This window comes from Homo sapiens, chromosome 7 (assembly GCF_000001405.40).
Source record: "Homo sapiens chromosome 7, GRCh38.p14 Primary Assembly".
In the NCBI taxonomy this organism is placed as follows: Eukaryota; Metazoa; Chordata; class Mammalia; order Primates; family Hominidae; genus Homo; species Homo sapiens.
The window spans coordinates 34963849-34980577 of NC_000007.14; the positions used below are offsets into that span (position 1 = coordinate 34963849).

Consider the following 16729-nt stretch of genomic DNA (forward strand, 5'->3'; position numbering starts at 1 on the left):
CTGTATGATTTCACTTACATGACATATATAAAGTAGTCAAAATCACAAAGACAGAAAGTAGAATGGTGGTTTCCAGGGACTGGGAAGATGGAAGAATAAGGACTTTAATGGGTATAAAGTTTCAGTTTTGCAAGATGAAAAATGTTCTGGAAATAGGTGGTGGTGATGGTTGTAAAACAATGTGAATGTACTTAATATCACTGAACTGTATAATTAAAAATGCTTAAGGTGGTAAATTTTAAGTTACATGTATTTTACCACAATAAAAAATGGAAAAATAATTTTTTGGAAATAATTCTATATATTTTTTTCTTTTTATAACTATAAGAATTTAGGAATTTATAAAACGATAATGGAAGAAGATAGAAAACAGTAAGTCATATAATAAAGTATGTATCATTTACCCAAAGTAGGTTTTGCTGCAAACTACATTGTGTAATTTTATAATTTTATAACTATAACTTTGAGTCAAGGCCCTCAGCCATAGTTGCCTATGTGACCAGCCAACTCTGAAGGCTTAACATTTAATCTGATTTATACTACAAAATAAAAAACTATTTTAAATAGTTTGGGGAAAAAATAAGCCAAGTCTAAAAAATATATAATTACTGTCTAACTCATTCATGAACAAGGATGTAAAAATCCTATCAACATGACAGCAAAGTGAATCCAGCGACATGCAAAAATTGTGTTTAGCCCAGAAAAGCAAGTTTATTTAATGCTAGAAAGTTAATTAATGTTAATTCATTATAGTAACCGATTGAAGAGGGGGAAATACACCGATTCATCTAAACAGATGTAGTAAAGCATTTCATGAAACTTAACATTTATTAATTTCTTTTTAAAAGTGCTCAAAGCATGATGAGGACATGTTAAAAGGAAAGAGAAGTCAGCTTAAATAGTTGGACAAGTGTGGAACAATTGGAGCATCAACATAAATAACAAAAATAATGGATTACACTGCATTGACTAAAATAGATGTCATTTTCTTTTGGACACAAGACAAACTGGTAAAAGATCTGAATAGGAATTTACAACAATGGAAACATGAAGGGCATATAAACAAACCAAAAGATGCTCAGCTTCATTATGAATCAGAGAAAATGCAAATTAAGGTTACAAGATACCATTTTACACGAACCAGATTGATAAAATAAAAAAGGATGTAGAATAACATAAGCTGCTATATATTGCTGTTGGAAGTAGTCCAATCATTTTAGAAAAACAATTTAGTATTTATAAAGTTGAACATGTACATAATTTACCACCCAACAAGTTTACTACCAGGTAAATACCCTAGAGAAACTCTCAACATATGTGCCCTAGGAGATATGTGAAGAATGTACAGCATTATTTATAACTAAAATAAGAAGCTGGGGGGAGAGGAGAGAACCTAAATGTCCTTCAACAAGAAAATGAATAAATGAATTATGCTTTATTTATATGATGGAAAATATAAAGCAGTGAAAATATTTGAATTCTAGTTACATGTAAGTAGCAGAAATCTGAGTGAAAAAATGGTATTTATAAAATAATGCCATTTGCATAAACCTTACAAAGAATGTGAACATTTAATAATAAAAATATGTACTATTTAGTAATCCACATATTGTAAAGTTATAAAGAAAAGCAAATTGATTACAATTCAAAAAGTCAGAATAGTGGTTACCTCTAGGAACAGTGAGGGGATGAGCTCAGGGCATACAGGACTTAAAAGTAACAATAAAGTTCTATTATCCATTTGGAGAGTAGGCTCCTGGTTGTTTATTTTATGACCGTGTTTATAACTTCCTTACACATTATAAATGTTCTTTTATATGTATAAATTATTAAGAAAATGAAAATAATGGGATATTATGACAACTGTAAAATTAACAGGAAAAGAAAACATCAAAATTATAAAAACTAATGAGAGAAGACAATGTTTGTTTTTAAAGGATAACCATTCAAGAACATCAACCAACCAGCTTTAGGGTCTTTGTTCCAGCTGTTCCACCAACCTAGAGATCAGTTTCTTTGATATCTACTTGGCTAACTCCTTCTCCTTCTTCCAATCTTTGTTCTACTCCCCTTCTCAAGAAGACCTGCCCTGACCACCTCATTTGATTTTTCCATTCTCCTACCCCCTGATCTTGGTGCTCCTGATCTGCCTTACCCTTACCTTTTCTTTCTTCTAAAATCTTTTTTTGTATTTTTTTTTAATAGAGATGGGGTCTCACCCAGGCTGGTCTTAAACTCCTGGGCTCAAATGTCCTCTTGCCTCAGCCTCCCCAAGCCACCATACCTGGCCTCAAATCCTTATCACCTTCTAACATCCTACATAATTTACCCATTTACTATGTTTATTATTTATCTTCTGTCTTCCCTCTTTCCCCCACTCTGTTAGAATGTAGTAATATGAATGCTGGTGTATTCCACATGCCTTGACAGTTGACGCTCAGTTAATGAACTTTTTTTCTTTTTTGTAGAGACATGGTCTTGCTATGTTGCCCAGGCTGGAGTGCAGTGGTGTGATCTTAGCTCACTGCAGTCTCAACCTCCTGGGCTAATGTAATCCTCCCACATCAACTTCCTAAGTAGCTAGTACTACAGGCATGCATCACCATGCTAAAATTTTTTATTTTGTAGAGATGAGATCTGGCTCTGTTGCCCAGGCTGGTTTCAAACTCCTGGCGTCAAGTGAACCCCACCTTGGCCTCTCAAAAGTGTTGGGATTACAGGCATGAGCCACCATGTCGGGCCCTTCTACTTCATTTTAACAGACAGCTCCTGGATAATATATCAGCCCCATGTTTCCGTTTCATAAATTATTTCTTTTACTGATACTGCATAAGTTGGGCACAACTTCAATCAGATAATATGACCCAAATTAAATTTTTGTGAGTGGTCTATCAAAATGAGGTCTGTTGATTATATCACAATGTTTGAACAACATTTGTTTTAGTTATGAAATTGTTACAACTAGTTTCAACCATGAACAAATAAAATATTAATCAGGAGTTTTAAGGGCAAACTAAATGGAAAAGAACAATAAAAAATTATTACCATGTGTATATAAATGATCTTCCGTAATTTACATATATCAATGTACCCGACAACATATACTGCAAATAATGATGCAATCTGAAATTTAAAAAGAAATTAGAAGTAAAAAAGATAAAATGAATAGCTACAAGAATGAAGAATATATTTACTGTTGTTTCAACTGATTTATATCTACACACAGAGTGAGTTCTTCTGTTTTCCTTTTATCTGACAATTTATTATTAAATATAGTCAATATATTAGTATAGAAAATATTGGTTGATTTTTCTCTCTGACACACAGCTTTCTCAATCATGTGAATTGTCTACTTTGTCAACTGTCCAAAACAATACTCATTTTAACTTCAGGTCAACCCTACTGTCAACATGTACAATTAAAAAGTGCCTTGTCCAATCAAAAAAGATGAAAATGTAATTATAACATGACAACTAATACATAATTGGGGAAGGTACATTTAACTGAAAAATAATTATGCAATGCATGTGTGCATAAAAATACCTCAATTTCTGCTTGCTAGTCACTCTTTACAAGTATCTCCATTAATGTTCTTTCATTAATACAAATATTCAAGAGTTAGTTATAATCAAATTTATCAATTTCAAATTAAGAGTACTTTCGCTGCAAAGGTATTTTTAACTTTCTTTTCCATTTGGAAGAAAATTGTATGTTATATATCAATAATTCTAAGAGTACTGGAATTATTTAGATGAATTAATTGATTAAATGATGGTATAGTATCTATTACATAGAGGTAATATAGCAGACAATGCCTCTACACCCTTCCTCATAGAGAAAGCAATTCAAATTAAATTCTTCCCGTCCTACTACAAAAGCATAGCATAAACAGATTGCAAAATAGCTGAATACTTAAACATATAACTTAAGTTTCATTCATCAAGTTTTTAATCTCTAAATCAATCTACAACAAATTTTTCCATTAGTGAGAAAAACAACAAAGTTTCCCTTTATTCAGAGTTACCCATGGAGAACACTGCATTTCTTAGGGTGCCTGATATGACATAACAACTGTGGGGAAGTGTGTGTTATTATTCAACATAAGCCCCACAGGGAGGCAAAATACCTCCCCTGACCCTTACCTCCACAAAAAAGCAGGCAGTCTCCACTATCAGGAAGCAATGAGAATGCTCCCTTTTCACCCCAAGGGCTAAGCAACACACAGTACATTTACAGGGTAGAATTTTCAAGAGACAATCTCAGAGACAATTTTAAACCAGAAACTGATTGAAAATGTCATCGAACTAAGTTAGACAAAGGAGTCTACAAGACAAGATCAAAGTAAAAAGTAAGTACAAATAGAGCCTATTTTAAAAAATAATGATAAAACCAACTAACCTTACTGACACCTACTAAGTACCAGGTACTGTGTTAAGAATCATATACATTACTTCATCTGGTCCTATCCACAACCCAATAAAGTAGGTTCTTTTATTATCTCTATTTCAGAAATGAGAAAACCTAAACTAAGAAAAGTTAACTATTTTATCCAAGTTAAGAGGCTAGTGAATAGAATTAGGACTCAAATCCAAGTCTAACTTCATTTCCCAAGCAAGATGTTCTAAAAAATATTAAAAAGCAGCCAGGCGCAGTGGCTCACGCCTGTAATCGCAGCACTTTGGGAGGCCAAAGCGGGTGGATCACGAAGTCAGGAGATTGAGATCATCCTAGCTAACACGGTGAAACCCCGTCTCTACTAAAAATATAAATAATTAGCTGGGTGTGGTGGCACGTGCCTGTAGTTCCAGCTACTTGGGAGGCTGAGGCAGGAGAATCGCTTGAACCCAGGAGGTGGGGTTGCAGTGAGCCGAGATTGCGCCACTGCATTCTAGCCTGGGCGACAGAGAAAGACTCCATCGCAAAAAAAAAAAAAAAAAAAAAAAAAAAGCAACTCTTCAACTGCTTTATACAAATATATCAGTACAATAAAAAAAAATAGTACGCAGGGAGAAAAATGAATATGTAATTTACTCCCTCTCTCAACAAGCTACCTCCATTTATAGTGGGCAAGAGTACATGGAAAGACAATAGATAAATTTCCAGACTGGTAGAGAGAATTTTATAAGAGATGAACTGGTTAGCTATTTATCCTGTAATCCTATGTGTCTTTATTCTACATGCAAGAATGTACACAACTATTCATAAAAGAAACATTTTAGGTAACAGAAATACTATAGTTAACTTAAGAGAAATACTTGAAGTTATAGCACTAGTCCTCTTTTAAGCACTTAACGATACTGAATAACAAAGATAAGCATTCTTACAAATTTGAGTTCAATAAATGCATTATGTTAGGAAGTAAATAATTAACAATCATTAATAAATAATCCAACATATTTCTCTACCCTGAACTTTCTTTTGTTCAATATTTCTAAAAAATGTTTTAGAAAAACATTTTTCCTAGAAAATGTTTTAGTGTTTTAGGACTTAGAACCATAGAATATCTCAGTTGTAATTTTATGCAAATGAGCTCACATAGTCAAACATGCTAAGCTTAAAACAGCTTAAAATATAATCACCTCACCTGAGTAAGAAGTACAAACTGAGCAAACTGCCAAGGAAGCATGAAAAATACATTGGAAATGCAGAGTGCAATCAAGCTTCCTCTATAAAGTTTTGTAGCCCTTGAAAAGATAAAATAAGTGTTAGTAAGTTTAAACACGAAATAGTCTAGCATGGCTCCAAACTGCTGCAAATTAGAATCTCGAAATATATATGATCTGGTTATAACACAACCTAAACATAAAATGAACCAATGGGTTAGAAATTATACCTCCTGATACTCAATTACAACAATTTTCTTTGAAAGGTAAATACCCATTTGCTAACAATAACACAGAGAGAAGGAGGGTGGGTCAGTATATCCATGAACATTTTTTTCAAATTATATTTTGGTGAATCCATGACTGAATATTTAAAAATACTGATTCAACAGATTCATTAGGAAGGCAGAAGATGCCTACAAAAAGATGATAGCAGCATATTCTAAGTGCTAAGTATTAGGCAGACAACTACTGCAATAATGCAGAATAAGAGGTAAGCGGCTGAGAGAGATTTTGTAAGCATGTGAGATAAAAAGTTGGGTCTGGCACAGGTAGGAGAACACAGAAAAGTTAAGTGGAGGAAAAGATATGGGGTCCATTCTGAAGCAACCTTTAGAGATCTCATTTTGGTACTGACTTGTAATTTAGGAGATTTTTAGGAGGGTAAGATGATTTTATCCTCTAAACCTGTGAGCCAACGCAAAGCCCCCACACATGTCCATCTTCACAGAAGTGGAGTGTGCATGTTGATATACTGAGGTGATGAGGTGTATGCAGCTCAGATACAGTAAAGACATCCTGGCTAGATAAACCTACCTGGAGCATAGAGCACCATTATGACATGCCTTTCTTCACTTCCCCAAGTATCCCTTCTCCAAAGGACATCCCTCTCTGCTATTTTAATCCAACAAAAGTACTTTTAAACTCCAGATAACCTTTTAATGAGTTATGAAATCAACTTATGGAATAAAATTCAGCATTTAAAAATGCAGATCAGCAGAGTGAAACAGAATATATATGACTATATCCTACTTACGAGGGGTTCTATTCTGTGAAACTTTTGTTTCAGCTGTGTGCATACATGTATGTGTATACTAAGCCGCAGTGTAAAACTTATTTCTTGTTTCTCATAGATCATAGTCCAAAAGTTTGAAAGCCACTATCTAAAATAAAGCATTTCTCTACTGCTTTTGAATACTAAATATGATTTTCATTTTATGGGTAACAAGAGACATTAAGATTTCCAAGCAGAATTTAATACCAATCTGGCAGTTGGATAAAGAATGCGCTGTGGGGAGATAGGAGTGAACAGAAAACAAAGAAAATCCAATTGGTGATCAAAATAGCTCTGACCCAAGACAACAGAAATGGAAACATAAATATTGCCAAGAATGAAAAAAAAAAAAAAAGCTAAGAACAACCAAGAAAAAGCTAAGCTGTGCTACTATTAGGTGGGTATATAAACTGAATTTCTAAAAATGCTTAAAATTCAAAACTGGACAAAACCAATTTGTTAAAACATACCACTAACCTTATTTATAAATGATTCCTAGCATTAAGGAATAGTCTCTTTTCTGGTTTTGTAACAGTATCCTCAGCACTGCAGCCTGCATCAACACTGCTCAGCTTCTTCTTGCCTCCACCAAGCCATCGCCACCCACCACCTCCCTCTAATGTCACAATATGTCAACTATAGGTAGAAACCAAGACCTAAAGGAAATGGCTGCTCTTCCAAAGGAGACAATGTCAGTAATAAGGATGAAATATCAGAAGATGAAGATGGCCAATAGAGAGAAGGTTACTATCCTTCAGAAAAAAGACAAGATGTCTGCCAAAATTTCAAGAAAGGAGGTTTAGCAGGTTTTCCCTCCTAAAAAGACTGCAGTGTCCAAGAAAGCAAAATGAAAGCCCACACTTCCAAGCAACCAGTCATAGATAGCCACAGCAGGCAAGCAGGGAGCCATGACAACTAAGGGGCATAACCAGGAAAGCCATCGCAATCAGAAGTCATAAGCTGCCAATGAAGATGGCGAGGAAGATCAAGATGGGATGGATCTGAACCAGGAGTGGTGAAAGCAGCAGCTGATGCAGCTTCAGATGGCCTGGAATATGAGAACAGAAATGCCAACTGGAATATAAACAGAGACAATGAAGAAGGCTCTAAAGAAAGGAAAGTTCTCTAAAACTTCTCAGCAAAAAGTAAAGACAGGTATTAAGACGTGGGTAAGGCTGAAAAAGACAATGATAAGAGACTAAAGAAAACATAAAAAGCTTGTCACAGAAGCACCTGGAGCCAAAAACAGAGAAGAACCCAACAGAAGGCAGCTCTTGAAGGCAGGAAACAGCAACTGAAGAGGCCCCATCCTGGTAGGCAGAATAATGGCCTCCAAAGATACCTGTGTCCTAATCCCTGGAACCTGTGGACATGTCATGTTGCATGGCAAAGGGGAACTAGGGCTGCAGATGGAATGAAGATGACTAATCACCTGGCCTCACAGTAGGGAATGTATCCCGGATTATCCAGGTGGACCCAATGTAACCACAGGGTACTTAAAAGCAGAAGAGAGGCTGAAGAGAAGGTTGGAGTGAACTGACAAAGAAGGACTTAATCTACCATTGCTGGTTTTGAAGATGAAGGAGCCACAAGCCAAGAAATGCAGGCAGTCTCCCAAGAAAGGCAGGCAGCCTCCCAAGAAATGCAGACAGCCTCTAGAAGCTAGAAAAGCCAAGAAAATTGATTCTCTCCCCTCCCACTCTGTGCCTTCAGGAAGAGGGTTGCACCTCCAATACCCTGATTTTAAAACTTCAGAGCTAGAAAACTCCAAGATAGTAGATCCCAGTTTGTGGTGATGGGCTACACAGCAACAGGAAACTAACACTACCTTCTATGGTACAGATGGACTAAAGGAAGCAGCGCTCAGTCCCCGGAGCAGCATCCCCATGCCCACTTAGGGACAGATCGGATCAGTGAGTGAAAGAAGAATCAAAGGTTTGCCTTTGCTGGATTTAAGACAGGAGCAGAGGTAGAAAAGCAGGAAGGAACTAGAGACTGATGGGCAGTCTGCTGTCTGCACTATACTGGAGAAAAAAGCCACGGTCAAGAATGTGAATGTGGAAAAACAGCATCTGTAGTGGTGAATCAAAGACTCCTACAGCACAACACTTCTTACAGAGATGTTTGAGAAGGGACCATTGCTCAAGATGCCTCAGAACCAACAGGGCACAGTTAAAGGTTATGAATTCATAGAGGTTCACCTTATTTGAAGGTGCTAAAGAAGTTTTAAACCCTATAAAAGAGGAGTTTAGGGGACAGCAATAAAGCTGGAGCTACACAGACTTTAAAAAGCTAATGCAAAAACATTACCCATCCCATGTTCTATGAAGGGTCTGTCTAAAGACACTACTACATAGGAGACTAAAAGCCATGTGATGGTTCTATACTTGCTGTAACAATCAGAGGGAAATAGATTGCCCAAAGGGTTTGGCATAACAGCCTTCAACAAAGTTCTTCTGAATTCGGAGGATCACTGAAGGGAGTTATCAGTCTGAGTCATCTTCAGATTTTTATCATGCTTTGTTCCATTTTTCCATAGCCCCCATTTGGTTTCCTTTTTACCCTCTGGAGCAAGGCAGCTATATTCAATATTTGTCAGCAGAAAGGGAGAGAAGTGTGAATTCTGTGAATTATCCTTTGCCCCAAAGGATTGTATCTTACAGGATACACTATAGCATGACCAGCCTTTACCTTCTTTCTGCTCATTTTCAAGAGGTTACAGTGGTAACAGAAGAAGACTTGAGAAAGTGGAAATGACAGGAGAAGTGAAAGCAATTTGTTCCTTCTCAAGCAATCACTGTAGACTACCAAGAAAAAGGAGGAGGAACAGAAGGCTGATAGAAGAAATGTTTTTGATACTATTTTTAAGTTACACTCTTATAATATTTTTACTAATAACAGCATCATATTGGTTAATTATTTTATTATGTTCACTTTATTATGGAAGCTTAAGAAATTTTAGTTAAAATTATTTAATGCAAAAAGAAATAAGGTTAAGTCAAAGTTACCTGAGAATATGAGTCACTAGCAACATCTGAAGAACAAGAAATGGATATGAGAAGCTTTCACGGAGAGGTGGTGTCCACATTACACGGGTACACTGAAAAAAAAAATTTGTAGTATAGTATACTTGCTAAATTTACTAAGACATTCCAAGTAAAAATTGCTATTTATAAATAAAATTATTTTTAACAAATAATTTAAACGGTGTGTTGTAAAACAAACTACTGGACTTTATTCCATAAACAGCAAAACTAGCATGTGACAAATATTACTGACAGAGACACATGTGGCTTAAGATCATGTAAAGCATTAATATCATGAATTGTCAGGAAGAAAATACCAAAAAAGATGCAACTACATCTTAAAAGGAAAGGGAGGAAAGTACCAGCAAGAAAACGTTCTGCCAAATTTTAGAATATTTTGAGTTGATTATTTATCTATTGTTTGTCTTCTTTCCCATGAATTTCAGCAAAACTATCCATAACCAGTACTTGAGAACTCTTTCTAGTCATCAATTTTAGTATTTTCATTCACTGTGCTGCTACAAAGGAATATTCCATTTTTGGTTTTACTTCTTTGCCTAAGCTGCCCTGGGTTGCAAAATATTTAAAAGTAGGCAGTGTAATCAAATTAAGTAACAAAAGTCCTGAAATTGTTAAGTATAAACCTTTCTGAAAAGCTCACTTTGGACATAATTAAGCAATGTACTATCACAGTTGTAATAATGTCATTTTACTGTATATAGACTAAACATATTAGTAAGTTCATCCTTCCATCGACAGAAAACCGCATACAATTAAATGCAAGCAATCTGATATTATTAAGTCACACTAAAATAATGATGTCTTTCAATGCAAGCACGGGTACCTAAAAAGATTCCACAGAATGACAAAGACCATGTCAGAAATAAGTGTTTCCTATATTTTCGCTGTACCTCAGACTACTGAATATTTCTAGTGCTGCTATAGAAAGACTGAGCCAATTTACTGCTCTTTTCTAACAAGCTCACCATCCTTTATGAAACTGACATACATATCTATTTATGAATGAACTACTCACACAAGAGAATGCTGAAAAGATTGAAAAGGTCCCCTGATAATGTATACTGTTGTTACTAGAATGCAATTTTTAAAAGCTGTTAGTTTATTAGATTAACTGGAGAGTTCAGTATGATTGACAGTAAGATACATGGGCAAACTACATTTCATTGCCCTTTACCATGCTTCACAGATAACGTCTGTCACAAATTGAAGGTTTGTGGCAACCCTGCATCAAGCAAGTCTATCAGTGCCATTTTTCCAATAGCATGTGGTCACTTCATGTCTCTGTGTCATATTTTGGTAATTTTCATAATATTTCAACCTTTTTCATTATTACTATATCTGCTACGGTGATCTGTGATCAGTAATCTCTGATATTACTATTCTAATTGCCTTAGGTGCCTTGAACCATGCCCAATAAGATGGCAAACTTAATGGATAAATGTGTGTGTTCTAACTGCTCCACCAATCAGCCACTCTCCCATCTGTCTCCCTCCCATCGGGCCTCCAAATTCCCTGAGACACAATATTAAAATTAGGAAAATTAATAAGCCTAAAAGGGCCTCTAAGTGTTCAATTAATACAAAGAGTTGTTCATCTCTCACTTTAAGTCAAAGGCTAGAAATGATTAAACTTAGAGAAGAAGGCATGTCAAAAGCCGAGAGAGGCCAAAAGCTAGGCCTCTTATGCCTAACAGTCAGAAATGCAAAAGAAAAATTATTGAAGGAAATTAAAAGTGAAACAACCTTATTGCTGATACGCAGACAGTTTTAATGTTCTGGATGGAAGATCAAACCAGCCACATTTCCTTAAGTCAAAGCCTAATCCAGAACAAGATCCTAACTCTCTTCAATTCTATGAAGGCTGAGAGAGGTGAGGAAGCTGCAGAAGAAAAGTTTGAACTAGCAAAGGTTGGTTCATGAGGTTTAAGGAAAGAAGCCATCTCCGTAAGATAAAAGTACAAGGTACAACAGCAATGCTGATGTAGACGCTGCAAGTTATCCAGAAGATCTAGCTAACATAACTGAGGTAGGTTGCTGCACTAAACAACAGGGCAGATGAAAAAACCTTCTACTGGAAAAAGATGCCATCTAGGACTTTCCTAGTCAGAGAGAAGTCAGTGGCTGGCTTCAAAACATCAAAGGACAGGCTGACTCTCTTGTTAGACCTAATGCAACCAGTGACTATCTTGAAGCCAATATTCATTGACCATTCTAAAAATCCTAGGACCCTTAAGAATTACACTAAATATACTCTGCACGTGATCTACAAATGGAGCAACAAGCCTAGATGACTGCACATCTGTTTTAGCATGATTGACCAGATATTTTAAGCCCATTCTTGAGACCTACTGCTCAGAAAAAAAGATTCATTTCAAAATATTATTGCTCATTGACAGTGCACTTGGTTACACAAGTGCTCGGGTGGAGACGGATGAGGTGATTAATGTTGCCTTCATGCCTGCTAACAGAGCATCTATTCTGCAGCCCATGAAGCAAGGAGTCATTTCAACTTTCAGGTCTTATTATTTAAGAGATATGTTTCATAAGGCTCTAGCTGCTATAGTGATTCCTCTGATGAGTCTGGACAAATGAAATTTAAATCTTCTGGAGTGGATTAACTATTTCAGATACCATTAAAATCATTCTGATTCATGGAAGGAGGCCAAAATATCATCATTAATAGGACTTTGGAAGTTTATTTCAACCCTCATGGGAGACTTAGATGGGCTCAAGACTTCAGTGGAGGAAGTAACTGCAGATGTGATGGAAATGGCAAGATAACTAGAAATGGAGCCTGAAGATGTGACTGAACTGCTGTAATCTCATGATAAAATTTAAAGGATAAGGAGTTGCTTCTTAAATGAGCAAAAGGAGTGGTTTCTTGAAATGGGATCTACTACTGGTGAAGATACTGTAAACATTGTTGAAATGACAAAAAAGGATTTAGAACATGACATAAACTTAGTTGCTAAAGCAGTGGCAGGGTTTGGGAGGACTGACTCCTATTTTGAAAGTTCTAGTGTGGGTAAAACGCTATCAAACAGCATCACTTGCTACAGAGGAATCTTCTGTGAAAGAAAGAATCAATCAATACAGCAAATTTCATTGTTATCTTATTTTAAGAAATTGCCACAGCTATCCCAATCTTCAGCAACCCCTCTGTCAGAAGTTATCAACATCAAAGTAAGACCCTCCATCTGAACAACTTGCTGAAGGTTCAGGTGATCACTGGCAGTTTGTTTGTGCATTTTGAGATGGAGTTCATTCTGCCGCCCAGGCTGGAGTACAGCTGTGCAATTTCGGCTCACTGCAACATCCACCTCCTGGGTTCAAGCGATTCTCCTGCCTCAGCCTCCCGAGTAGCTGGGACTACAGGCACCCACTACCACACCCAGCTAATTTTTTTTTTGTATTTTTAATAGAGAAAGGGTTTCACCATGTTGACCAGGCTGGTCTTGAACTCCTGACCTCAGGTGATCCGCCTGCCTCAGCCTCCCAAAGTGCTGGGATTAGCCACTTATTTTTAAATTAAGGTATGTACATTGTTTTTTAGACATAATGCTATTTCACACTTAATAGACTATAGTACAGTGTAAACATAACTTTTATATGCACTGGAAAACCAAGAAATTTGTATGACTTGATTTATTACGATATTCATTTTACGGTATCTCTGAAGTATGCCTGTATGATCAAAATTTGTAAAGTCATCAGTCTCTGTACAAAAACAAGTATTCAAACAAGCAAGTATTCCAACCATGTAATGTACAATTTGAGAATTTTCTTCATGCAGACAGTTCCCCCACATTTGTTACCCACATTCAATGACATTATCATTTCTCCAAAATTCGTTGCTTTTAATAGCTATAGTCACTCAGTTCACCAAAACTGAATTATATCCTCTGAAAGCAGGGACAAGAAAACCCAATTACAGGACTGTAATGAAGGGCAAGGTCTTCTCCCTCCAAAATTCTGAGTACATGAATTCAAATGTCCATGAAAGTGCTTTCTATTGTTTCTCCAATAACACAACGTGTTTTACTAGGTCTGGTACAAACATAATTGCCATTCCAGATGATGCCATATAATTTGAAAATAGTGAAGAGATTTGGTTTAGTCATGCCTTACGTTTCAACAAAATAAATATTTTTTCTTTATCTCATTTTAAATGTAAAATAAAAAGTGTGACAGTTTAAAATGCCAATGCTTTTTAAAGGCATTATTTTGAAATTTGAGAATTAAAGGAAATATACATGTGAACTGCTTCAAAAAAGGGTTATACAAATGTATGTTGTTTCTAAGTATAAGAAATACATTTATTGTGAAAATAAATTCAATAAAAATCTTATGTTGCACAAACTTCTATCTAGTATATAATTTTTAGCACACATTTCATAACACTGATTATACTGCAACATAATACTGTGTAGATATTAATAGGCTTTTATTTTCTGCTTAATAATTTTTAATCATTCACTGAAGAATCAATAACTAAGGAATCTCAAAAGTAGCTTAATTTTCCAATCTCTATTTTCAAACTATTAACTTATAATATTGGGAATACAGTATGATCTAATTGATTTATCTTCATAACTTCAAAATAAATAGAAGAACAATTGACTAGTGAGTTATAAATTGTGGTTAGTATTAGTATCAAACAGATCATGTTTAAGATTTATTCCAAGAGTTTTTACTAGAGTTGCCATTTGCTGGATCAATCCTAACTTGTTACTATAATGTTTAGGTTTAAAACAAATTACCCACCTCTGCCTGCTGCTTTTCTATACTGATTATACTATTGCTTTATATTGCTTAATATTAACTATAATAATGCTTTAAACACTATATTTATGAGTGCTTCCTTAAAAGACTGCTGGCACCATGAAGGTTATGCTACCTCTCTTCAGAGAATGTTATAGGTGTTAAGAATCCTGCTGTCCACATAGTAACCATAAACATGCTAGGTTTAAGAGACATGGCTTGAGTATCTCTTGTTTGATGCTACTTAGGGCAGTTCCATTATTTAGGAAGACCCTTAGTTTGGAGTAAGCTTTGTGCATCTCAGGGCACTGTATCTTGATAATAAGTAAGCCTGGTTGCTTTCTTGGAGTTTTGGTCTATTTTTGTACCATACACAGGTTGAGTATTTCTCATCCAAAATCCTGGGACCAGAAGTGTTTTGGATTTCAGATTTTTTCAAATTTTGGAATATTTGCATTTTAATTACTGATTGAGCATCGCTAATCCAAAAAACCAAAATCTGAAATGCTCCAATGAGAATTTCCTTTGAGAGTCATGTTGGCACTCAAAAAGTTTTGGACTTTTTGAGTATTTCAGACTGCAGATTTTCATATTATGCACAGCCTGTACTGATAAGCTGCTCAATTAACCAGTTACATATTTCAATCTGAACTTATAATACAATTTTAGCTCACACAGGATTTAATGTGTCAGTGATATGTAAATGCTATTTTAAACTGTACTATCTTTATAAAGAATTTCAGCTGGTTGTATGACAGAAAACATTGATCTTTTTGTCTCTGAAAATCTAAGATATCAGTATATCCTATCCAAATTTACAAAAAACCTTTGTGAAACTTTGTTGAAAAAGCGGTGAGTACACCTCCATGTTTCCATCCATTGTTGCAATGACTCGAACTTGACCATTGCTTATTCATCTAAAATAGAAAATATATCTGGCAAGATGTTATCAGTATCAACTCTACCACCTTTATCATGTGGTTATAAACTACACTGCTCAAGGTTATCAACATAACCAAAATTCTGACTACAAAATGAAAGCATTAACCAAGATATATAGGCAATATAAATAGAAACAGAAACAAATGATTCAAATTGCACTGTCAAAATGATAATACAACATGGAGAAATAAAAACAATTCAGGTTGCTTCTAAATTATTTAACCTTTATATTCTGACTATACCTCCTTAGTAGAATATACTCTTAGGAGAAAAATAACTGGAGAAATACTGAACCATACTTGGTAGGATTGTTATTGGTAATGACATTAGTGTAGTAACTTTGAAACTATTTTGTGTGTATTACAGAATAATTTGTTTCTGGAACCTTTTTGAGTTTGAAAGGAAGTGTTCAGACACCAGTGAGATATATCAAAAGGGCAGAAAATAGTGCCAAAATCATAAAATATCTAGAGATTAATAAAATATGTGAAAAACATTAAACATTCCTGAGAGAAATTAAAGGAGACGAATATAAATCTGTTTATGGATTGGAAGATTTAGTATATTCAGGAATGTCCATTCTAAATTAATCTAGAGATCCAAAACACAACCAGCAAGTTGTGTATGTGTTGAAAGAGAGGGAAGTAGTGACAAACTGATTCTAAAATTTATATGGAAACACAAAGGACCTGGAATAGCTATGGCAATACTGACGAAGAACAAGGTTGGAGATCTTCACTATGAGATATTGAACTTATAAAGCTACAATATTTAAGGCAGTGTGATACTGGCTTGAAGATAAACAGACTAATAGAACATAATTGAGAATGTAAAAATAAATCCAAAACTATATAGTCACTTTATTTATGATACAAGGCCCACTACAATTCAGCGGGGAAAAATCTTCTTTTTAACAAGTGGTACTAGGTTAACTGGACATCCTATTTGGGGTGGGGTAGGGGAGGAAGGAATCTGGAACCTATTTCATACTGTATACAAGATTCTAGACAGATTACAAACCAAAATGTGAAAGCTACACCAAGGTTTTCCCTTATATTTTCTTCAAGCTTCTAAAAGAAAATATGAGAAAACCTTCATGACCTACAGTAGGCAAAGATTTTTTTAATCAGACACAAAAAGGACTCAACATAAGAGACTGATAAATGGAACTTCATGAAAATTAAGAACTTCATCAAAAAACCTCAAAAAGATCTGTGTACACAAAGATAAAAATCAAAAAACGAAAAAAGAGGAAAAGACAGGTCGTTAAGTGGTGAGAAGGTACTTGTAGAACATATATTCTATAAAGAACTCCACAGAATT

The 16729-nt window shown here is 35.2% G+C and overlaps 1 protein-coding gene across 3 annotated transcripts in view, besides 1 other annotated feature; it reads right to left on the minus strand.

Moving 5' to 3' along the window:
- DPY19L1 (dpy-19 like C-mannosyltransferase 1) overlaps positions 1–16729 on the minus strand; it is a 109161-nt gene that overhangs the window by 34968 nt on the left and 57464 nt on the right. For all 3 annotated transcript variants that reach the window (NM_015283.2, XM_011515246.4, NM_001366673.1), the window contains exons 8-10: positions 9666–9757; positions 5585–5684; positions 3046–3123 (exon numbers count right to left, since the gene is read on the minus strand). In NM_015283.2, coding sequence (NP_056098.1) covers positions 3046–3123; positions 5585–5684; positions 9666–9757 — 270 coding nt within the window. The remainder of the gene's footprint in view (positions 1–3045; positions 3124–5584; positions 5685–9665; positions 9758–16729) is intronic.
- Positions 9402–9471: a silencer, noted in NCBI's record as "silent region_18092". NCBI's record gives its function as "represses an Ori minimal core promoter by ATAC-STARR-seq in GM12878 lymphoblastoid cells {active_cell/tissue: GM12878}" and the evidence as "EXISTENCE:reporter gene assay evidence [ECO:0000049][PMID:35858748]".